At 44.5% G+C, this 24,130-nt stretch overlaps 1 protein-coding gene and 1 non-coding gene across 6 annotated transcripts, besides 5 other annotated features; both read right to left on the reverse strand.

Moving 5' to 3' along the window:
• On the reverse strand, nt 1-23,980 carry ATP5F1A (ATP synthase F1 subunit alpha). Of its 5 annotated transcripts, NM_001001937.2 has the most exons (13): nt 23,890-23,980; nt 17,925-18,032; nt 14,806-14,884; nt 11,435-11,604; nt 9,576-9,749; nt 9,319-9,485; nt 7,862-8,010; nt 7,094-7,245; nt 6,761-6,985; nt 6,140-6,247; nt 5,866-6,010; nt 4,257-4,407; nt 1-4,116 (listed from the first exon to the last, which is right to left on the reverse strand). In NM_001001937.2, the coding sequence occupies exons 2-13, from the start codon at nt 17,982-17,984 to the stop codon at nt 4,035-4,037; spliced, it is 1,662 nt and encodes a 553-aa protein (NP_001001937.1). In that variant the 5' UTR covers nt 17,985-18,032; nt 23,890-23,980; the 3' UTR covers nt 1-4,034. The 5 variants fall into 5 exon arrangements, with proteins under 5 accessions (NP_001001937.1, NP_001244263.1, NP_004037.1 ...); NM_001257334.2 differs by lacking the exon at nt 23,890-23,980 and having other exon boundaries at nt 9,642-9,749; nt 17,925-18,049; NM_004046.6 differs by lacking the exon at nt 23,890-23,980 and having other exon boundaries at nt 17,925-18,049.
• On the reverse strand, nt 9,058-9,130 carry TRK-CTT6-1 (tRNA-Lys (CTT) 6-1). Its single transcript has one exon. It is a non-coding gene; the product is annotated as a tRNA-Lys (tRNA).
• Nucleotides 17,415-17,474: an enhancer, noted in NCBI's record as "active region_13269". NCBI's record gives its function as "activates an Ori minimal core promoter by ATAC-STARR-seq in GM12878 lymphoblastoid cells {active_cell/tissue: GM12878}" and the evidence as "EXISTENCE:reporter gene assay evidence [ECO:0000049][PMID:35858748]".
• Nucleotides 17,415-18,648: a biological region, named in NCBI's record as "BRD4-independent group 4 enhancer GRCh37_chr18:43677662-43678861".
• Nucleotides 17,449-18,648: an enhancer, noted in NCBI's record as "BRD4-independent group 4 enhancer chr18:43677662-43678861 (GRCh37/hg19 assembly coordinates)". NCBI's record gives its function as "activates an origin of replication core promoter dependent on BRD2, P300/CBP, MED14 and CDK7 cofactors, and independent of BRD4, by STARR-seq in HCT116 cells {active_cell/tissue: HCT116}" and the evidence as "EXISTENCE:reporter gene assay evidence [ECO:0000049][PMID:35650434]".
• Nucleotides 17,565-17,714: an enhancer, noted in NCBI's record as "active region_13270". NCBI's record gives its function as "activates an Ori minimal core promoter by ATAC-STARR-seq in GM12878 lymphoblastoid cells {active_cell/tissue: GM12878}" and the evidence as "EXISTENCE:reporter gene assay evidence [ECO:0000049][PMID:35858748]".
• Nucleotides 23,963-24,062: a silencer, noted in NCBI's record as "silent region_9419". NCBI's record gives its function as "represses an Ori minimal core promoter by ATAC-STARR-seq in GM12878 lymphoblastoid cells {active_cell/tissue: GM12878}" and the evidence as "EXISTENCE:reporter gene assay evidence [ECO:0000049][PMID:35858748]".

Raw genomic sequence — 24,130 nt, forward strand, 5'->3', positions numbered from 1 at the left:
TTACAGTTAACAAATAGTTTTTAAAATACAAGTCTGAAATCCATAAAACTTCACATTTCAAAGGTCAAGTGCCTTCTCAAATGTTCACCACCCCCAGTGATAAGATAAATGCACACAGACACAATTTTATGACAGCCATTTTGTTGCCACACAGAAGGGCCACTTGGGCAGTGTATTTAGGCCTGCCTGGTTAAAAACAGCCAGGTGCCTATGAGGTCTCCTATGTCATTAGTCTGTAAGTACTTAGTAAAAAGCAGTATTTGAATCTCATGGTTCATTGCTGTAACAGAAAGGGCTGGACTCTATAGCTCAGCAAAAACACCAGGGAAAGGACTATACAGTTTTAGGGGAGATCTTGAAGTCTTCTAGCACAACTTTTTTTAAGAGTCAGGGTCTCTGTCACCTAGGCTGGAGTGCAGTGGCGTGATCATAGCTGACTGCAGCCTGTTTCAAACTCCTGGGCTCAAGTGATCGTCCCAAAGTGCTGAGATTACAGGCGTAAGCCACTGCGCCTGGGCTATCATATTCTTTAAAAATATCACATATTTTTAAATGTGATATTTAAAAATCACATTTTTAAATATCACTGTGCCTGGCGTGGGCCAGGCACAGTGGCTCACGCCTGTAATCCCAGCACTTTAGGAGGTCGAGGCACGTGGATCATCTAAGGTCAGGAGTTCGAAACCAGCCTGGCCAACATGGTGAAACCCCGTCTCTACTAAAAATACAAAAATTAGCCAGGCATGGTGGTGCACACCTATAATCACAGCTACTCAGGAGGCTGAGGTAGGAGAATCACTTGAACCCAGGAGGTGGAGGTTGCAGTGAGCCGAGATCGCGCCATTGCACTCCAGCCTGGGCAACAAAAACAAAACTCCGTCTCAAAAAAAAAAAAAAAAAAAAAAATCTCATCAGACCAGACCAGTAGTTAACATTTGGAATTTGATTTATAATGGACAAACATGGTTGTCTTCATTTGAGAAGTTTATTGAGCATTTACGTGCCAGGAGTGGGCTACGAGATCCAGTCAACAAACAAACAATACATACTCCCAGTAATAAATTAATTCCAATCCATTAGCCAAAGTATTTTTCTCCAAAGTAGTAATCACCACTGACACTAGGTATAAAATGCTCCAACAAGCCGGGCGCAGTGGCTCACCCCTGTAATCCCAGTACTTTGGGAGGCCGGTGGACCACCTAAGGTCAGGAGTTTGAGACCAGCCTGACCAACATGGAGAAACCCCATCTCTACTAAAAATACAAAATTAGCCAGGCGTGGTGGTGCATGCCTGTAATCCCAGCTACTCAGGAGCCTGAGGCAGGAGAATTGCTTGACCCCAGGAGGCGGTGGTTGTGGTGAGCCGAGATCGTGCCATTGCACTCCAGCCTGGGCAACAAGAGCAAAACTCTCAAAAAAAAAAAACAAAAAAAAAAAAAAAAAAAAAAAACGAAATGTGCAGAACCTTCTAACTAAAAGTAACTTCCTTATTTCAGAAAAGGAAAATCAGATCTAGAAGTTATTTCTCAAGTAGCTAGAAAGCAAGAGTTGATCAGAAATGACCAACTGCTATCAAGTTTAGTGTTCCTCTAAGTACTGAAAAGGACTTATGAGTACTTTAAGAACTCTCCTTTTCCTACCAAAGATATTGGAGCCCACATATGTAAATATATTTTGACTTACTGGAGACAGAGAGATGGATAAGAATGAAGTTTCGGTACAGCAAATCCCCATCAACAAAATAAAATGGCAAGGAAGGGGGAACCCTAGGAAAAATATTTTAGAACATGACCATGTATGACCCTTACAGACAAAAGCCTTTATATATCAGTAAAAAAAAAAAAAAAAAAAAGAGGCCGGGCGCGGTGGCTCAAGCCTGTAATCCCAGCACTTTGGGAGGCCGAGGTAAGTGGATCATGAGGTCAGGAGATCGAGACCATCCTGGCGAACATGGTGAAACCCCGTCTCTACTAAAAATACAAAAAAAAAAAAATTAGCTGGGCGTGATGGCAGGCGCCTGTAGTACCAGCTAATCGGGAGGCTGAGGCAGGAGAACGGCGCAAACCCAGGGGGCAGAGCTTGCAGTGAGCCGACATCGCACCACTGCACTCCAGCCTGGGAGACAGTGAGACTCCGTCTCAAAAAAAAAAAAAAAAGGCCAGGTGTGGTGGCTCACACCTGTAATCCCAGCACTGTGGGAGGCCAAGGCAGGCAGATCACAAGGTCAGGAGTTCGAGACCAGCCTGGCCAATATGGTGAAACCCCGCCTCTACTAAAAATACAAAAATTAGCAGGGCATGGTGGTGGGTGCCTGTAGTTCCAGCTTCTCGGGAGGCTGAGGCAGGAGAATTGCTTGAACCTGGAGGCAGAGGTTGCAGTGAGCCAAGATCAGGTCACTGCACTCCAGCCTGGACGACGGAGACTCCATCTCAAATAAATAAATAACTAAGTAAAAAAAAAGGTAACACATTAAGAATGAGCAAAGGCTATGAAAAATTAAAAGTAAATAAATAAATCAGTAGGCTGGGCGTGGTGGCTCACACCTGTAATCCCAGCACTTTGGGAAGCTGAGGCGGGCAGACCACGAGGTCAGGAGCTCAAGAGCAGCATGGCCAACATGGTGAAACCTTGTCTCTACTAAAAATACAAAATGTTAGCCGGGTGTGGTGGCATGGGCCTGTGGTCCCAGCTAATTGGGAGGCTAAGGCAGGAGAATCGCTTGAACCCAGGAGGTGAAAGGTGCAGTGAGCTGAGATTACGCCACTGCTCTCCAGCCTAGGTGACAGAGCAAGACTCTGTCTCAAAAAAATAAATAAATCAGTAAAAAAAATTTAATGCAGTAAGAATGAGCAAAGGCTATGAAAAGCTAGTAACAGAGGAAATAAAGTAGCTGTGAAAATATTAAAAGATGGCCGGGCATGGTAGTTCACACCTGTAATCCCAGCACTTTGGGAGACCAAGGCAGGAGGATCACTTGAGCCAAGGAGTTCATCATCAGCCTGGACAACATGGCAAGACCCTCCCTCTACAAAAAGTAGAAAAATTGGCTGGGCGTGGTGGTATGTGCCTGTAACCCCAGCTACTCAGGAGGCTGAGGTGGAAGAATCAATTGAACCCAGGTGGCAGAAGCTGCAGTGAGCTGAGATCACACCACTGTACTCCAGCCTGGGTGAGAGAGATGGAGACCCTGTCACAAAACAAACAAAAGAGATATTGACAAGTTTTCATAATCCTATGCATTCTATCTTCTCAGCTTTTGTTCCAGCAATTTTTTCATTTCCCTGAGAATTTTAACTGTCCTATTATTTTCCTGCCTACAGTACCTCTTTATGCAGGTACATCCTCTGGGCAGAGAAGCCAGCTATGCTCTTCAGTATTGTCAGCCTGCCACATATATCCAGTTTAGGAATTTCTCTTAAACACAAAGTACTCTAGAAACTTACAAAGAGCAGCCGGGTGCGGTGGCTCACACCTGTAATCCCAGCACTGTGGTAGGTAGGCCAAGGCAGGTGGATCACCTGAGGTCAGGAGTTCGTGACCGGCCTGGCCAACATGGTGAAACCCCGTCTCTACTAAAAATACTAAAAAACTAGCCAGGCGTGGTGGTGGGCACCTGTAATCCCAGCTACGTGGGAGGCTGAGGCAAGAGAATTGCTTGAACCCGGAGACGGAGGTTGCAGTGGGCCGACAGGGTGCCACTGCACTCCAGCCTCAGTGACAGAGTGAGAATCAGTCTCAAAAAAAAAAACAAAAAAAAAACTTACAAAGAGCTCAGCCTTGAATTATCTAGCCCAGTTGACTGTACCAATATTCAAGTAAAATAGATCAAGAAGCATTTGCTTACCAATTTCTCAATTTGATCTTGGTTTTAAAGAATAACACAAATGACAGAAAACAACTATGCATTATGGAACCTTTATTTTTCATGTGATTTCTGTACATAAGGAGTATGAGAGTAACCCTTTTACAAATGGAACTAATTTACTAGAACAATGACAAAACTGAACTGGTATTTGATGTGAATCCACAGGAGTTTAAGCTTCAAATCCAGCCAAGAAATTTGTTACAATCTCTTTCAGCTTTGCATCTGATTGTTCTGAGATCTTTCCATCAGCCCTATTTGGAAATAAAAGCAGGTCGTAAGTTCTGACCTGGAAAAAGTTTTAATGACTAGCCTAACTACAGATTTGAAAATAATTTTAACTTCATATCTTAAACATAACTTTAAAAAAAGATGCCAACAATTGCATTCATACCTGATAGTGCCCAACAAGGCTTGGTGCTGGCTGACGACATGAGACAAGAAAGCATTCTCAAACTTTGTAATCTTGCTGGGCTCCAGTTTATCAAGATATCCCCTTACACCCGCATAGATAACAGCCACTTGTTCTTCAATAGCCATGGGAGCTGAAAAGATACAAGAAGAATGCCAAGTGAGTTGCTCAAAGAAATGAATGCCATGTTACCAAGGTCAGGAAAACTTACTTTTTCTCCAATTCCTAACATGTCCCTGTAAATTATCTATTCTTCACAATATCAATGACCTAGAACTCCACTTAATAATCCTTCCTCCCACCCCTGACAGAAAACAGTTATTTCTTATATTTTCAAGGCTTGAGGCATAATCTTTCAGTATAGTCCATAAGCACTGTTTATAATCTGACAGTGTTAATACTGTTTTGAGTATAAATATTTTGCTGAAATGACTTGACAAAATAAAAACGTATTAACTTTCTTTTAAATCTGCCAAATTACATATTCATATAGCCAAGTGGGGGAGGGGACTCTAACAGGCCTTAATTCCTGAAAGGAAGACATTAAATATACTTAAGTTTTCCTGGTTGTGAAGCCCCTATCATTTACACTCAAATGATAATAAGAAATGTAGTTTGGGCCGGGCATGGTAACTCACACCTGTAATCCCAGCACTTTAGGACTCTGAGGCGGGTGGACCACTTAAGGTCAGGGGTTCAAGATCAGCCTGGCCAAAATGGTAGAGGTTTTACCATTTCTACTAAAAATATACTCCAGCCTGGGTGACAGAAGGAGACTCTGTATTAAAAAAAAAAAAAAAAAAGAAAGAAAGAAAAAGAAAGATAGTTTGAGGCCGGGCATGGTGGCTCACGCCTATAATGCCAGCACTTTGAGAGGTGGGAAGATGGCATAAGGCCAGGAGTTCAAGACCAGCCTGGGCAACATAGTGAGACCCTGTCTCTACAAAATACAAAAAAATTAGCCAGGCATGGTAGTGCATGCCCGTAGTCTTAGCTACTCAGGAAGCTAAGGCTGCAGGACTGCTTGAGCCCAGGAGTTCAAGCCTGCAGTGAGCTATGATGGCACCACTGCACTCCAGCCTGGGTGACACTGCAAGACACTGTCTCTCTTTAAAAAACAGAATACAGGGCCGGGCATGGGGGCTCACACCTGTAATCCCAGCACTTTGGGAGGCTGAGGCAGGGTGGATTACCTGAGGTCAGGAGTTCGAGACCAGCCTGGCCAACATGGTGAAACCCTGTCTCTACTAAAAATACAAAAATTAGTCGGGCGTGGTGGCTCACACCTGTAATCCGAGCTACTAAGGAGGCTGAGGCAGGAGAATCGCGTGAATCCAGGAGGTGGAGGTTGCAATGAGCCAAGGTTGCGCCATTGCACTTCAGCCTAGGCCGTAAGAATGAAACTTCGTCTCAAAAAAAAAAAAAAATCAAAAATCAAAAAACAAATGTAGTTTAAGTAAAAGTGCCTTTGATGAAAGATAACAGATAACAACACGTAGTACAGGCCGTGATATGTGATGCAGCTCTGTAGGCCTGGGAAGACCCTGATACACAATAGGAACCTGACCAAATGAAGAAAAGAACAACTTACAATACTGTCCTTGCTTCAGCAACTCAGTTAGACGCACGCCACGACTCAAAAGTTGTTGAGTGGCAGCATCGAGGTCAGAACCGAACTGGGCAAAAGCAGCAACCTCACGATACTGAGCCAATTCCAGCTTCATGGTACCTGCTACCTGCAATACAGAAATTACTGTACTGTAACTCAGTGACACAGAGCACTATACAAATATAGTTAATATATTAATACCTTAAGATGCTAATCTAATGATAGCCCCCTTACTGCCAAAGTGATGCAAAATTACCTGCTTCATAGCCCTGGTTTGGGCAGCGGATCCGACACGAGATACAGACAGACCAACGTTAATTGCAGGGCGGATACCTTTGTAGAACAATTCTGTTTCCAAGAAGATCTATAATGTAAGGAAATACGCACGCTAGCAAGCTTAAAGTAAGAAATCAACTATCTTCAAATTTAAGTCATTATGCCAAAAAGCTGAAACTCAAAACCTAACAATGCAAAGCATCAGTACCCCAAATCTTTCACGACCTGACCTGTATATTTTATTGCTGCAATTAGGAGATGTGCATGAGATGAGAAAAAAACATAATAGGCAACATATTTATACTGAAATACATACAAATGAAGTGATATAATTTCTATTTGATTCAAAATTATCTAGAAGGGAGAACAGTAGTGGTTAAAAATGAAACTAGAACGAAACATGCTACTCTATGCAATAACTGGGTGACAGATACATGGGGTTTCACTATGCCATTCTCCTAACTTTTCTATGTATTTGAAATTTTCCATAATAAAAAGTAAAATGCATTTAGCAAATCAGTCAATATACCATTAGTCTCAACCAATGCCTTAGAATTATCCAAATCTTTTTTAACATTTCTTTTAATCATTAAAATAATACCTGTCCGTCAGTGATGGAAATGACATTTGTTGGAATGTAAGCAGACACATCACCAGCCTGTGTTTCTATGACTGGCAAAGCAGTCAAGGAGCCACCACCAAAAGCATCGTTCATTTTGGCTGCTCTCTCCAGCAACCGGGAGTGTAGGTAGAACACATCACCAGGATAGGCCTCACGACCAGGGGGTCGGCGGAGCAACAGAGACATCTGACGGTAAGCAACAGCCTATGGTACAGAATAGGTTTGTGAAGTTAACCTATTAAATAGAAGTTGCATATGTGAACTTTTACTTCAGTACAAATAAATGGATTCTAAAAATTTATTTCCTTTGACCTGTTTGGATAAGTCGTCATAGATGATCAAAGCATGTTTGCCATTGTCTCTAAAATACTCTCCCATGGAACAGCCAGAGTAAGGAGCCAGGTACTGAAGTGGGGCAGCATCCGAGGCCGTAGCCGACACCACAATGGTGTACTTCATGGCATCTGAGAAAATATATTTTACAATTTTATCAATATTGTGGTTTTAAATTGGAGGCTACTATAAAAATTACCTAAGTGCTAAAAATATTTACCATTAAGAGTTAATCAGGCCAGGCGCAGTGGCTCATGCCTGTAATCCCAGCACTTTGGGAGGCCCTAGGCGGGTGATCACCTGAGGTCAGGAGTTCGAGACCAGCCTGACCAATATGAGGAAACTCCGTCTCTACTAAAAATACAAAAATTAGCCGGACGTGGTGGCATGCACCTGTAATCCCAGCTACTCGGGAGGCTGAGACAGGAGAATCGCTTGAACCCAGGAGGCAGAGGTTGCAGTGAGCTGAGATCGTGCCATCGCACTCCAGCCTGGGCAACAAGAGTGAAACTCCGTCTCAAACAACAAAAAAAGAGTTAATCAGAATCAAACAGCTTCCACTTTAAAGAAACCAACAAAACCTTTAAATGTACTACTGTTTTACATTGTCTTACCTACTGATTTGTATTAAAAAGTTCAGCCCATTAGGAAGTAATTAAAATATGCCTTCATTAAGTAGAAGCTATTCTACAATCAGCAGCAATGGGACTTAAGATAATAGCAATGGGACTAAATTTCTTTTAATACCTGCATCTGTAAGTCTCTTCACCAACTGGGCAACAGTGGATCTCTTTTGACCAATAGCAACATAAATACAGTACAGCTTCTTCTTTTCATCAGATCCATCATTGAAACGTTTCTGGTTAATGATTGTGTCAATAGCAATTGAGGTTTTCCTTTAAAAAGAGAAAGTAAATATAAATCTTCCTAAACTTAAAAGGACTTCCCTGTGGGGGAAAGAAAGAGAGATCAGACTGTTACTGTGTCTATGCAGAAAGAAGAAGACATAAGAAACTCCATTTTGTTCTGTACTAAGAAAAATTCTTCTGCCTTGAGATGCTGTTAGTCTGTAACCATAGCCCCAACCCTGTGCTCGCAGAAACATGTGCTGTGTTGACTTAAGGTTTAACGGATTTAGGGCTGTGCAGGATGTGCTTTGGTAAAAATGTGTTTGCAGGCAGTATACTTCGTAAAAGTCATCGCCATTCTCCAGTCTCGAGTACCCAGGGACACAATGCACTGTGGAAGGCTGCAGGGCCCTCTGCCCAATAAAGCCTGGGTATTGTGCAAGGTTTCTCCCCACTGAGACAGCCTGAGATATGGCCTCGTGGGAAGGGAAAGACCTGACCATCCCCCAGCCCGATACTCGTAAAGGGTCTGTGCTGAGGAGGATTAGTGAAAGAGGAAAGCCTCTTTGCAGTTGAGATAAGATGAAGGCATCTGTCTCCTGCTTGTCCCGGGGAATGGAATGTCTTGGTGTAAAACCCAATCGTACATTCTATTTACTGAGATAGGAGAAAACCACCCTATGGCTGGAGGTGAGATATGCTGGCAGCAATACTGCTCTTTACTGCACTGAGATGTTTGTGTAAAGTCAAACATAAATCTGGCCTACATGCACATCAAGGCACAGCACCTTTCCTTAAACTTATTTATGACACAGAGACCTTTGCTCACGTTTTCCTGCTGACCCTCTCCCCACCATTAACCCTACAGTCCTGCCACATCCCCCACACCGAGATAGTAGAGATAGTGATCAATAAATACTGAGGGAACTCAGAGACCAGTGGCGGCATGGGTCCTCCATATGCTGAGCGCCGTTCCCCTGGGCCCACTGTTCTTTCTCTATACTTTGTATCTGTGTCTTATTTATTTTCTCAGTCTCTCAACCCACCTGACGAGAAATACTCACAGGTGTGGAGGGGCTGGCCCCCTTCATCTGGTGCCCAACATGGGGCTCAAACCCACGACCCTGGGATTAAGAGTCCCATGCTCTACCGACTGAGCTAGCTCGTCCCACCTGATGAGAAATACCCACAGGTGTGGAGGGGCTGGCCCCCTTCACTTCCCAGCTGAAATTTTACTATTAATCCTCGTATTAGATTCTAATGTCCCCATTACCATTTACCATTCCAAGACTAAAATATAATCCTTCCATTGAGCAAATTTTAGTTAGAACTTTTAATATGCTTTTGAGTCTTTACCCAGTCTGTCGGTCACCAATAATCAGTTCACGCTGACCACGACCAATTGGCACCAAGCTATCCACAGCCTTAATGCCAGTCTGCATTGGTTCCCGCACTGAAATTCGAGGAATGATACCGGGGGCTTTCAGACCAACTCGCCTACGCGTCTTGGAACCAATTGGACCCTGTTAAAAAATAAAAAGAAAAACCCTAAGCATAATCAGTTTTGATGTTTGTTAGAAGCTGCAACTATATCTAACGAACATTAAACCTACCTTTCCATCAATAGCATTACCAAGGGCATCAACTACACGACCCAACAGCTCCTCACCAACTGGAACGTCCACAATGGCTCCTGTCCTCTTCACTATATCTCCTTCCTTAATTAGTTTATCATTTCCAAACACGACAACACCAACATTGTCAGGTTCCAAGTTCAAGGACATACCCTGCACAAAAGACACAATTGAACATCAATGAAGCTGAATGGGCACTCCTCCCCATACACCAATACTACATAAGAAAATAGTCGGGGGGTGGGGGGGGAAGCAGTATTGTCCTTTTCACCTGGTTTATTCTTGAGTACTTTTCCAACTAACAAACAACCCTCTCTGATTAAGACTTTTAAAATTGCTATTTTGAATAATCTTAGGACAGCACATTGATAAGCCTAATATGCTCACTATCATATCCTCAAATAACTATTACAGAAGCAAAGAAATTGGACAGGTTAATAAGCTTTTTTCCACTGTATTTTCTTTGGCAATGATTCTTGGGCTGGGTGATCAGTATGAAATAAAGTGATGAAGGCCAAATGGAAATCTTAAGACAAATTTGATTATCATCTTATTTATGTGTGAGAAGCTCCATAAACAGTTTCAAAAATTAATCAAAACCTGTACTCTTCGAGTTAGTAGAAAGTGAAATTAAAAGCTACCTAACTGTAACCAATCAAATACAAATTTTCATAACATAACAGCACCAAATCATCTCTCATCATTAAAACTATATTTTAGATCTTTAAATCATGTCTGAAGCAAAAAGGCTATTCCAGGAATAGTCTGGTCAATAATGAAAACTCTGGAGAAGTACTTGGAGTATCATGGAATATCATTACACATCCAAAAACTTTAACCTACATCTCTGATGTTCAATACAGCATCCACTAACCACATGTGGCTATTTAAATTTGTCAAATTTAAAAGATTAAAAATTCAGTTCCTGTCACACTAGCCACATTTTACATGATTAATAGTGATAGTATAGTAGGTACCATATTAAACAGCACAGATGTATTCTCATCACTGCAGAATACTACATATTTCCAATACTACTGGACAGTACTGTTCTAGACACTTGGATTTCAAAAGCTAAAAGGGGAACTCAGAATTAATCTGTTTCGACCTCACCTTTCAAAGATAAATACTGTACACTGAAGATGCTAAATTGGCCAATGTCTTACAGCTAATGATAACTTTGGGCTCTGTAATTATTCTTCCACATCAAGTGGCTCTTTTTCCGTAGTAGACATTACCAAGAGTATCAAGACTATCTTTTCCCATATCTGCATGCCTACTAGACAGTTCCACTCTCTCTAGTTTATCCAGATGTCATCCTCTGCTTTCCCTAACTCCTACAACTTATTTCTCATACCCTGACAGATGAGGCTCAACCCAATACAAAGTAGACTTACATTAGAGAGCTTCTGATAGCTACACCAAAACTCGCCTTTGAACAATATGTCTACTCACTAGAAATACAAAGTCACGGACTTCCAATTTCCACCAGAAAAATTTTGTTGAAGTTATCAAATGCTTTGCTTTTGTATAAAATAATCTTAACAGCAAGACAGAACAGACTTAAACTTCTTGGATTTGGGGTGAAAGTTTATTCAATTTTATATTTTGGAGCCAGTGGCTACAAGTTATGTATAAATCAGTCCCTAGAGTAAAAAAACTTGGCTAATTCAAACCCTTAAGTTTATTCTCTTTACAATCTATGATAATAACAAGAAAAAAATCTGAGGCAAATTAAGACAAAGTTTTTTAAAAATCTGATACAATCTTTGAATCGCTAAATGAATAACTGAGAAGACTTAGATCCTAAAACACCAAAATCTTATTTTATAATTTACCTTTAAGCCTGAAGAAAACTCTACCATTTCTTCTGCTTGAACATTCCTCAGCCCATGTACGCGGGCAATACCATCACCAATACTTAAGACACGCCCAGTTTCTTCAAGATCAACAGAGGTATCAGCTCCAAGAATACGCTCTTCAAGAATAGAGGACATCTCAGCAGTCCCTATGGAAGACAATTCAATTCAATTAAAAAAATAATCTGGGCCAGGCACAGTGGCTCACAGCTGTAATCCCAGCACTTTTGGAGGCTGAGGCAGGCAGATCACCTAAGGGCAGGAGTTTGAGACCAGCCTGACCAACATGGAGAACCCTGTCTCTACTAAAAATACAAAATTAGCTGGGCATGGTGGCACATGCCTGTAATCCCAGCTACTCGGGAGGCGGAGGCTGAGGCAGAAGAATCGCTTGAACCCAGGAGGCGGAGGTTGCGGTGAGCTGAAATCACACCATTGCACTCAAGCCTGGGTAACAAGGGCAAAAACTCCATCTCAAAATAATAATAATAATAATAATAATAATAATAATAATAATAATAATAATAAAAATCTGGTCCTCGGATCTTTTCAAAGCCCATTTCTCAACAACAAAAAACTAGTTTTGTGATCATAATAATCCAAATATATTCTACAGACCCAGCACAGTGGCTCACGCTAGCCACAGTGGTAATGCTAGCACTTTAGGAGGCTGAGGCAGGCAGATCACTTGAGGTAAGGAGTTCGAGACCAGCCTGGCCAACATTGTGAAACCCCGTCTCCACTAAAAATAAAAAAAAAATTAGCTGGGCACGGGCATGCCTGTAGTCCCAGCTACTCAGGAGGCTGAGACAGAAGAACTGCTTGAACCTGGGAGGTGGAAGTCACAGTAAGCCAAGATTGTGTCACTGCACTCCAGCATAGGTGACAAAGTGAGACTATCACACACACAAAAATTATATATATATATATATATTCTACACTGTAACACGAGATTCTATTTTTAAAAGCTATGAAAATAAAACCAAGTGATTAAGGAAAAAAAAGTCCACACAAAACAAATGTAAACCAGACAAGAAGCTAATCAAATTAAGTAAAACCCTTAAAATAAATGTTCTCCTTTAATTTCTAAGAAATCTGTAACTATGTTAAAACCTGAATTTTTGGCTAAATTCAATAAAAACATATTTTAAAAACCAACTGTTGGCCAGGCACGGTAGATCATGCCTGTAAAACCAGCACTTTGGGATGCCAAAGGGGGTGGATCACTTGAGGCCAGGAGTTCGAGACCAGCCTGGGCAACATGGTGAAACCCCCATCTCTACTAAAAACACAAAAGTTTGCCGGGCATGGTGGTGCATGCCTGTAATCCCAGCTACTTGGGTGGCTGAGGCACGAGAATCACTTGAACCTGGGAGAAGGAGGTTGCAGTGAGCTGAGATAGCCCCACTGCACTCCAGCCTGGAGACAGAGCAAGACTCTATCTCAAAAAAATAAAAAATAAAAAATAAAAATCAACTGTTAACAAAGTGTGTCTTTCTCTTTCAAGGCACACAGGGTAGTATAGGTGGTATTCTTCATCTTAGCATACAGGGGTTGGGTGCAGTGGCTCACGCCAGTAATACCAGCACTTTGGGAGGCGGGCGGACCACTTGAGGCCAAGAGTTTGGACCAGCCTGGCCAACACAGCAAAATCCCATCTCTACTAAGGAAAAAAAAAAAAAAAATTAGCCAGCTGTGGTGGTGCATGCTTGTAATACCAGCTACTCGGGAGGCTGAGGCAGGAGAGAATCACTCAAACCCAGGAGGTGGAGGGTCCAGTGAGCCAAGACTACGCTACTGCACCCCAGCTTGGGCAACAGAGCGAAACTCTGTCTCAAAAAACAAAACAAAACAAAATAAAAAAACATCCCAGCACTTTGGGAGGCCAAGGTAGACGGATCCCCTGGGGTCAGGGCTTTGAGATCAGCCAGGCCAACATGGCGAAACTCTATCTCTACTAAAAATACAAAAATTAGCCAGGTGTGGTGGTGCGTGCCTGTAATCCTAGCCACTAGGGAAGCTGACTCAGGAGAATCACTTGAACCTGGGAGGTGGAGGTTGCAGTGAGCTGAGATGGCGCAACTGCACTCCAGCTTGGGCAACAGAGTCTCAAAAAAAAGGAGGCCACGCACAGTGCCTCATGTCTGTAATCCCACCACTTTGGGAGGCCAAGGCAGGTGGATCACCTGAGGTCAGGAGTTCGAGACCAGCCTGGCTAACATGGTGAAACCTTGTCTCTACAAAAAATACAAAAATTAGCTGGGTGTGGTGGTGGGCACCTGTAATCCCACCTACTCGGGAGGCTGAGGCAGGAGAATCACTTGAACCCGTGAGGCAGAGGCTGCAGTGAGCCCAGATCATGCCACTGCACTCCAGCCTGGGCAACAAGAGCAAAACTCCATCTCAAAAAAAAAAGAAAAAAGAAAAACATATATGCTGAACGTGGGGGTGTGTGTACACATACACACACACACACACACACACATATACACACACACTCTCACACACATATATATTTAACCTTTATTTTAAAAGTCCAAATACTCATCTCCAAAGAAATTCCCCAACTTATAGTGTCTTCCTATGCTTGCCTCCCCACTTCTCTACTGCATCTGTAATGTGCAAGTTCACAGATTGCCAAATATCTAGTAGCTACTGCCTTTGAAAAAATAAAACCTATCAGTGGACCGGTGCAGTGGCTCACGCCTTTAATCCCAGCACTTTGGGAGGCCGAGGCAGGCATATCACAAGGTCAGGAGATCGAGACCATCCTGGCCAACATGGTGAAACCTTGTCTCTACTAAAATACAAAAAATTAGCCGGGCATGGTGGTGCATGCCTGTAATCCCAGCTAGTCAGGAGACTGAGGCAGTAGAATTGCTTGAACTCAGGAGACAGAGGTTGCAGTGAGCCGAGATCTTGCCACTGCACTCCAGCCTGGCGACAGAGCAAGATTCTGTCTCAAAAAAAAAGAAAACGAATAAGAAAACCTATCAATAAGAACTTACATTTTTTCTAATGCCTTTTAGAAAAGGAAAAAGGAAGTCTTCCAGAGGTCACAAAGATTCCATTACCTAGTGTATGTTCTTTCTGTTTCTACCCAAGGGCCATTACCAGAACAAAGAAGCCATACTAATATCAAAAGAAAAATATGTAACAGTAGTTCATTTGACTATAACAAGAGAACCATGACAGGGCTAAATGGTAACAATATGGTTTAAGAACCTGAGAGTCTATACAAACTAGAGAAAAAACTAACAAATGAAAAACAACTCACCACAGTTATACGATGTATGTAATTTATATCTTCATCTAGTAAGTGCGGCGTAGACTGAGAAATAATAACTTACCAGTCTTTTGAAGATGAGTGTTAGAGGCATGGAAGTTCCTTGCAGCAATGAAAGATGAACCCAAAGCATTTCTGGAGACCTAGTGCAAAAGTATTCTTAAAAATTTGATTTTTAACAAAGCCTTTATAAAACTTACAAGCTTAAACAAATGCCAGCTTAGTGTGATCAAAGTACTGGTGAAAATGCTAATTACATATAAAGCATTTTGTTTAAAATGTCAAATGGGAAAGTAGCTTTTGATATATGTGAAAACCTTTTATACAGCTCCTAGTACACAGTAAACACTCGCATATTTTTAAAATGCAGTCTGTACTTTATTATTATTGTTTTTTTGAGACGGCTCACTGCATCCTCCACCTCCTAGTCTCAAGCGATTCTCAGCCTCCCGAGTAGCTGGGACTACAGGGGTGCGCCACCTCCACCAGGTTAATTTTTTATATTTTTAGTAGAGACGGGGTTTCACCATGCTGGCCAGGCTGGTCTCGAACTCCTGACCTCAAGTGATCCACCCGCCTTGGCCTCCCAAAGTGCTAGAACTATAGGCGTGAGCACCGCACCCGGCTTATTTTTTTTTCTTTTTTGGGACAGGGTCTCACTCTTGTCACCCAGGTCGGAGTGCAGTGGCTCAATCACGGCTCACTACAGCCTCGACTTCCTGGGCTCAGGTGATCCTCCCACCTCAGCCTCCCCAGTAGGTGGGATCACAGGAGTGCGCCACCTGGCCAGGCTAATTTTTGTACTTATTTTTTTTATAGAGACAGGATTTCATCATATTGCCCAGACTGGGCAGTAAATAAATATATATTTACTGGGCAGTAAATATATATATACACACACATTTTTTTTTTCCTTCTGAGACGGAGTCTCATTCTGTCACCCAAGCTGGAGTGCAGGGGCACGATCTTGGCTCATTGCAACCTTCACCTCCCAGGTTCAAGCGATTCTCATGCCTCGGCCTCCTGAGTAGCTGGGACTACAGGCGACCACCACCATGCCCGGCTAATTTTTTTATTTTTAGTAGAGACAGGGTTTCGCCATGTTGGCCAGGTTGATCTCGAACTCCTGACTTCAGGTGATGCACCCACCTTGGCCTCCCAAAGTGCTGGAATTACAGACGTCAGCCACTGCACCCGGCCTGGCAGTCAGTATTTTAAAAAGCAACTATTGGCAGGGCACGGTGGCTCATGCCTGTAATCCCAGCACTTTGGGAGGCCAAGGCGGGCGGATTACCTAAGGTCGGGAGTTGGAGACCAGCCTGACCAACATGGAGAAACCCCGTCTCTACTAGAAATACAAAATTAGCTGGGCGTGGTGGCACATGCCTGTAATCCCAGCTACTCGGGAAGCTGAGGCAGGAGAATCGCTTGAACCTGGGAGGCAGAGGTTGTGGTGAGCCAAGATCGCGCCACTGCACTCCAGCCTGGGCGACAAAAGCAAAACTCCGTCTCAAAAAAAAAAAAAAAAAGCAACTGTTAACAAAATGTAAGTGTCTTTCCCTTTAAAGGTACCCAATTTTTATTATTTTGACTTTAGATGTATTTTAATGGAGTTGCAGGAATTCTAAGATAAACAGCTTCCTACAAGGGGCAAAACTCAAAGTAGTTCCAATTTTACTTAAAAACAACAACAACAACAACGACAACAAGCGGCCGGGCACGACGGCTCATGCTTGTAATCCCAGCACTTCAGAAGGCCGAGGCGAGCGGATCACCTGACGTCAGGAGTTCAAGACCAGCCTAGCCAACATGGTGAAACCCCGTCTCTACGAAAAACTACAAAAAGTAGCAGGGCATGACGGCGGGTGCCTGTAATCCCAGCTACTCGGGAGGCTGAGGTGGGAGAATCACTTGATCCTGGGAGGCGGTGGTTGCAGTGGGCGGAGATCACGCCATTGCAATCCAGCCTGGGCGACTGAGCGAGACACCATCTCAAAAAAAAAAAAAAAAAAAAAAAACAAGCAAACAAAAACTGAATAAATGCTAGAGTTAGATTAGAAACCAAGAGTTGTGGCATGTGGACTTATTTTACTCTCTCAACAAATCCTGCAGCCACCTGGAACTTCCTTCAGTTTCTCCTTCAAGTTGTAATACTGCGACTGGTCACTGTCAATTCTGAAGCCTCTACCTTCCATAGGAGCTAGATGAAAACCGTTAAAAATGCTTTTTTGTTAACAGAAACCCAAGATGCTACCAGCGGTTGTTAAGGCAGCAAAACAGCCAACATGTTTATTTCACCTTTCAAATTGAGATTACTTTTAGAACAAAAAAAAAGTGTCAGTGTCAATGCGTTTACACTGAAATCATGTTAATTTCAAGGGAAACAAATAACGAAGGGTATTAATCCTTACAGCCATTTTCCAACCTTGTTCTCTTTTACTTGAATTCTCCATCACTAAAAATTACTCAAAACCAGGTGGAAAACTCAAGGACAAATTCTTTAAACACGTCCAAGTGCCACAAAGCACACACTCTGCCGGAGAGACAATTTAGAAACCAGCTTCACTGTTGTCACAGTGCTGGCCACATGAAATGGTTCTTTGCACCTGCAGGACGTTTTCACGGTCGTTTCGTATTCAGCACTAAGAGAAAGCCTACGTAAGTATTCCAAAAACCACCTTCATTTATTCCTTTCCTCTAAACTGAGCTCCAGGCAGAGGTGAAATGCTGGGCCTGCTGACCTTCACACAATGTCAGACTCCACTGACTAGCTTCAACAAGAGCTGACAGCAGTTTTCTGACCTTCAGCGGGACGCGACCCTAAGAATCGAAAGAGAGGAACCTCACCGATTCAGAACAGGCCTCGGAGAGCTAGCGCCCAAGCCCTGACCTTCACCCAAGATCCCCCTTCTAGGGCCGCTGTCAGCCGAAGACAGGAATCTTGAGGCCCTGTCTCTGGACACCATCGAGTTAACTGTCTGCCCTGTACCATTCTGCCTCTGCGCAGGTGACGAGCAAAAGGGCACCTGTGTCGCCTGCTCTGTCCAGCCGGAGAAGCCACGGGTGCAAGATGGCGGCATTCGCCACAGCCCCTCGCCCTCCTGCAGAGAGCGCCCGAGCCGGCGCACCACCACCCTGCAGCCCCACCCGGCCGCCTGCATCATGCCGGCCTTCGGTGCTCACCAGTCCGGCCCGCCGAGGAAGGGCGCGGACCACGGCCGCAGCAACGCGCACGGACAGCATCTTTGCAGTTACTCCGCAGGCGGTACTTCTGCAGCCGCAGCCTCCGGACTGACTGGGACAAAATGGCCGAGCCGCAAAGAAGGTCAAGACAGCCGGCCCACCTGACCCGGAAGTACTGCCCCTCGCGTTCACCACCTCTCCCCCCGCCCCCGCCGCCACTCTGCATTTTTTGGCAGGTTACTTATTTTTTTATGTAACATTTTTAAGTTTAAACCTCAAAATGAATGATTAGATATATTCCGGCTTTGGTCCTGGCATTCGTTATACATTTATTTTGGTCTTTTGAGTCGACCTTGTGGTTGCCCCGGGTGACCACGTGGGTAGCTGAATCTGCTAAGCAGCAGTTCCCAGGCCCCATCTGGTGCTAGAGGATGAGGGCCTCACCCGTCTGGGGTCGCGGCTGTCTTGAGGACCAGGGCGATTAATAGTGTCGGTAGTGTTAGACCGTGGTTTAGCACGAGTAGCAACAGTGAACAGCTAAACCCCGGGACTGGCCACCAGCAGGGAGCCTCCCACGGAGCCCGTTAATCTGCAGATCTTAGCCCCACTTCAGACCCTCTGAGTCGAAAATTCGGGGCAATCTGAATTTTTAACAAACACCAGCACCGTTCCACGTGATCCGATCTGCGCTCAGGTTAAAGATTCCCAGCTTTTTTAGATTCATTCTAAAAGAATCCTGTCAGTGAATTAGAGCAAACTGTTTAAAAATCCTGATAACCGGGGGAGGGGAGCATCAAGATAAATAGCTAATACATGCGGAGCTTAATACCTAGGTGATGGGATGATAGTTACAGCAAACCACCATGGCACACATTTACCTGTGTAACAAACCTGCACGTCCTGGACATGTATTCCGGAACTTTAAATTAAAAAAAATATATCAACAATCACAAGGAGGCCTAGAAGAGTCATTGCCAATCCTACTGAGAATTGTCCAGAATCAGAAGTTTACACCAGGATAGGACGAGGACTCGCTTTTTCCTCTGCCAACATCTAGTTCATGCTATTGGGAACTCTGCTTCTTCATTTGGAGTCAAAGGGAGATGATGAAAAAACACTTTCTATGCTTACCTGGATGGGCTTTTTTTTTTTCTCCACAGAATTACCATACTGAGATTTTTGTGATATATGCAAGATTTGTGTGTGTGTGTGATGCTGGTTATTATTATGTCATAGTGGACACTTATTAACGTTGCCTTCACTTTTCTTTTTTTTTTATTTATTTATTTTATTTTATTTAAGACAGGGTCTCACTCTGTTGCCCAGGAAAGAGTGCAGTGGGTTTATCACCATTCATTGCAGCCTGGAACTCCTGGGCTGGAGCAATCCTCTGACCTCAGCCTGTGCCCCTGTGGTCCCACCACCATGCCTGGCTAATTTTTTTGTAAAGACGGCGGTGGTGGGCAGGGCGTGGGGGGAGGTCTCTCTATGTTGCCCAGGCTGGTCTCGAACTCCTGGCTTCAAGTGATCCTTCCTCCTCAGCCTCTGCGCTGGGCCCGCTTTTCACCGTTTGGAGAAGCATTTTCAGTTCCATCCCCCAAATCCTGGCTTACACCTAGAACCTGAATTTTGGTGAGGCAAATAAATATCCGGGCTACAAGGGTCATCTCCTGAAACATGGCTTGTAAACACGTGATTAGCCATCCTTTTCTCTAGTATCCTACTCTTTTCAAGGTAAGCCATGGGAAAATAGAGCAGCAGTTCTCCTGGGAATCAGGGGTACAAAAAGGCTGTCCAAGCCAGGCGCAGTGGCTCACGCCTGTAATCCCAGCACTTTGGGAGGCTGAGGCGGGTGGATCACCTGAGGTCAGGAGTTCGAGACCAGCTTGGCCAACATGGCAAAACCCCATCTCTACTAAAAATACAAAAATTAGCCCGGCATGGGGGCGGGCACCTGTAATCCCAGCTACTGGGGAGGCTGAGGCAGGAGAATTGCTTTAACCCGGGAGGCAGAAGTTGCAGTGAGCCCCAGATTGCACCACTGTCCTCCAGCCTGGGCAATAAAAGTGAAACTCCATCTAAAAAAAAAAAAAAAAAAAAAGAAAGAAAAAAAGAAAAGAAAAAGAAAAAGGCTGTCCAAGTAAAATAAAATACAGAGACAAATCTATAAATTTAAAACATTTGGGAAGCAATAATTGCCATTCAGGGCATACACACAAACAGGGTGGTCTTTGGTACGTCAGAAGAACAAACAGATGGTTAGAGGTTTTATTTTTGTAAAAGAGAAATATAGCCAGGAACAGTGGCTCATGCCTGTAATCCCAACACGTTGGGAAGCCAAGATGAGAGGTTCACTTGAGCCCAGGAGTTTGGGAGTGCAGTGAGCTGTGATCACACCGGAACACTCCAGCCTGGGCAACAAAGCAAGACCCTATATCAAAACAAACAACAAAAAAAGAGAACTGTTGTATATTGTTCTTTAAGAAAGTTCATTGTCACTAGTAAGGTTTTGGGGAGCTGGCAAGTTTTGATTGGCAAGTAATGGCAACTAGGTAAAACGATCCTTAGAGTCACTGCAGGTTGTTTTTAGCAGCTAATTAGATAAAACTGGTTTAGGTCAGCCGGGCACGGTGGCTCACGCCTGTAATCCCAGCGCTTTGGGAGGCCGAGGCGGGTGGATCACCTGAGGTCAGGAGTTCAAGACCAGCCTGACCAACATGATGAAACCCCGTCTCTGCTAAAAATACAAAAATTGGCTGGGTATGTTGGCGGGTGCCTGTAATCCCAGCTACTTGGGAGGCTGAGGCAGGAGAATCACATGAACCTGGAGGCAGAGGTTGCAGTGAGCCAAAATCATGCCATTGCATTCCAGCCTGGGCGACAGAGTGAGACTCCATCTCAAAACAAACAAACAAAAAAACTGGTTTAGGTTATAGCGGGCAGTTTCAGCAGCCAGGCTTACAGATAATTACATTTTTGGAGCAATGTTATGTGCCCTGAGTGCTTTTTTTTCCCTTTACCTCTTGACACTGTTTTAGTTGGGGATGACAAGAATGACCCAATCAACTTTCACAAGCTAACAGGAAAAAATATCGTTTCTAAAAACAACAAGGCCGGGCATGGTGGCTCACGCATGTAATCCTAGCACATTGGGAGGCCAAGGCAGGCAGATCGCCTGAGGTCAGGAGTTCAAGACCAGCCTGGCCAACATGGCAAAACCCCGTCTCTACTAAAAAATCAAAAATTAGCTGGGGGTGGTGGTGCACACCTGTAACCCCAGCTACTCAGGAGGCTGAGGAAGGAGAATCGCTTGAATCCAGGAGGTGAAGGTTGCAGTGAGCCAGGTGGAGGTTGCAGTGAGCCAAGATTGCGCCTCTGCACTTCAGTATGCGCGACAGGAGTGAGACTATCTCAAAACAACAACAACAATAACAACAAAATTAGCCGGCATGGTGGCTCACACCTGTAATCCCAGCACTTTGGGAGGCTGAAGCAGGTTGATCACTTGAAGTCAGGAGTTCAAGATGAGTCTGGCCAACATATCGAGATCCCTGCACCCCCTGCCCCATCTTTAGCTGGGCATGGTGGCACATGCCTGTAATCCCAGCTATTTAGGAGGCTGAGGCACGAGAATCACTTAAACCTGGGAGATGGAGGTTGCAGTGACCACTGCACTCCAGCTTGGGCAACACAGTGAGATTCTGTCTGAAAAAAAAAAAAAGGCCGGGCATGGTGGCTCATGCCTGTAATCCCAGCACGTTGGGAGGCTGAGGTGGGCGGATCACGAGGTCAGGAGATCGAGACCATCCTGGCTAACATGGTGAAACCCTGTCTCTACTAAAAGTACAAAAAATTAGCCGGGTGTGGTGGCGGGCACCTGTAGTCCCAGCTACTCGGGAGGCTGAGGCAGGAGAATGGCGTGAACCCGGGAGGCGGAGCTTGCAGTAAGCCGAGATTGCTCAACTGCACTCCAGCCTAGGCAACAGCACAAGACTCCCTCTCAAAAAAAAAAAAAAATTGCAGGGATATTTTGTAAAATTTGTAGTGATAAAAGTGGACAAAAGACATAAAGATAACTTTTTTTGCCCCATACTGAAGGGCTGCACCAGTTTATCTGAAATTTGGTTACAGAGCAGAGATATATTTAGTTTTTGTTTTTTTTTGTTTTTTGTGGTGGATTCTCACTCTGTCGCCCAGGCTGGAGTGCAGTGTCTCAATCTCAGCTCACTGCAAACTCTGCCTCCAGGGTTCAAGTGATTCTCTTGCCTCAGCCTCCCAAGTGGCTGGGATTACAGGCACGTGCCACCATGCCTGGCTAATTTTTGTATTTTTAGTAGAGATGGGGTTTTGCCATGTTGGTCAGGCTGGTCTTGAACTCCGGACCTCAGGTGATCCACCTGCCTCGGCCTCCCAAAGTGCTGAGAATATAGGTGTGAGGCACCGCATCCAGCCAGAGCAGAGATATGTTTGAAGCAAAAAGAATAAGCAAGACAGGCTGGGTGTGGTGCCTCATGCTTGTAATCCCAGCACTTTGAGAGGCCCAAGTGGGAGCATCACTTGGGGCCAGGAGTTCAAAAACAGCCTGGGCAACATAGTGAGACCCTCTTTCTACAAAAAATACAAAAAGTTAGCTGGGTGTGGTGGTGCACGCCTATAGTCCCAGCTACTAAGGAGGCTGAAGCGGGAGGATTGCTTGAGCCCAGGAGTTCAAGGTTGCAGTGAACTGTGATCACCACTATACTCCAGCTTGGACGAAAGAGCAAGACCCTGTCTCTAAAAATAAAATAAAATAAATAATAAATAAGCTTGGCTTGCTAGTAAGTTTCCTTTGAAAAGAAAATCATTTTAGGCTGGGTGTGTTGGCTCACACCTGTAATCCTAGCTCTTTGAGAGGCCGAGGCAGGCAGATCACTTGAGGTCAGGAGTTTGAGACCAGCCTGATCAACGTGGTGAAACCCCCCGTTCTACTAAAAATAAAAAAATTATCCCTGCATGCTAGCACAAGCCTGTAATCCCAGCTACTAGAGAGGATGAGACAGGAGAATTGCTTGAGCCTGGGGACGGGGGTTGGAGGTCGCAGTGAGCCAAGATCATGTCACTCTGCACTCCAGCCTAAGCGACAGAGAAACACTCCATCTCAAAAAGAAAAGAAAAGGTCGGGCGCAGTGCCTGTAATCCCAGCACTTTGGGAGGCCAAGGCGGGCGGATCACCTGAAGTCAGGAGTTCGAGACCAAGCTGGCCAACCTGATGAGATCCCATCTTTACTAAGATACAAAAAATTAGCTGGGCGTGGTGATGCACACCTGTAATCCCAGCTACTCGGAAGGCTGAGGCAGGAGAATCGCTTGAACCCGGGAAGCAGAGGTGGCAGTGAGCTGAGAGCCGAGAGCCGAGATCGTGCCACTGCCCTCCAGCCTGAACAACAGAGACTCCATCTCAAAAAAAAAAAAAAAAAAAAAAAAGCTGGGCGCGCTGGCTCACGCCTGTAATCCCAGCACTTTGGGAGGCCGAGGTGGGCGGATCATGAGGTTAGGAGTTCGAGACCAGCCTGGCCAATATGGTGAAACCCCGTCTCTACTAAAAACACAAAAATTAGCCAGGCGTGGTGGCGCTTGCCCGTAGTCCCAGCTACTTGGGAGGCTGAGACAGAAGAATCGCTTGAACCCAGGAGGCAGAGGTTGCAGTGAGCCGAGATCATGCCACTGCACTCCAGCCTGGGCGACAAAGCGAGACTCTGTCTCAAAAAAAAAAAATGTCCCTAGTTTTTAGGTTGGGGGAACTAACGGATCAAGTTAAGATTGCCTCAGCTCATATTGCCAGGGTAGAATATAAATTCTGAGTGGATGCAATCAATGTGGAAGAAACACAAACATCTTGCTAAGCAAGAACCAAACGTTTCAAGTACTTTTTTTTAACGACAAGTGATTCAAACAAGAAATAAAAATAAAAGAAAGAAAAAACAACCTGGTTCTAGGCGGCTCTATCTCTCGTAGTGTTGATTATACCGCGGAAGGCGGGAAGAGCTGGGAAGTGGCAACGAAGCGAGGCTTGCAATGCCAGAGCCTTCGACCAGCCTTGCACAGGGGCTCAACGGCCAGGAGTCTCAGGTAAAACCACAACTCCCAGAAATCCCGGGCCCGGCGAGGGGCGGGTGCCAACGGCGTGTGGGCGGGGCCTAGGGAGTGAGCGGGGCGCATCTCCCGCT

This window comes from Homo sapiens, chromosome 18 (genome assembly GCF_000001405.40).
Source record: "Homo sapiens chromosome 18, GRCh38.p14 Primary Assembly".
Taxonomy (NCBI): domain Eukaryota; kingdom Metazoa; phylum Chordata; class Mammalia; order Primates; family Hominidae; genus Homo; species Homo sapiens.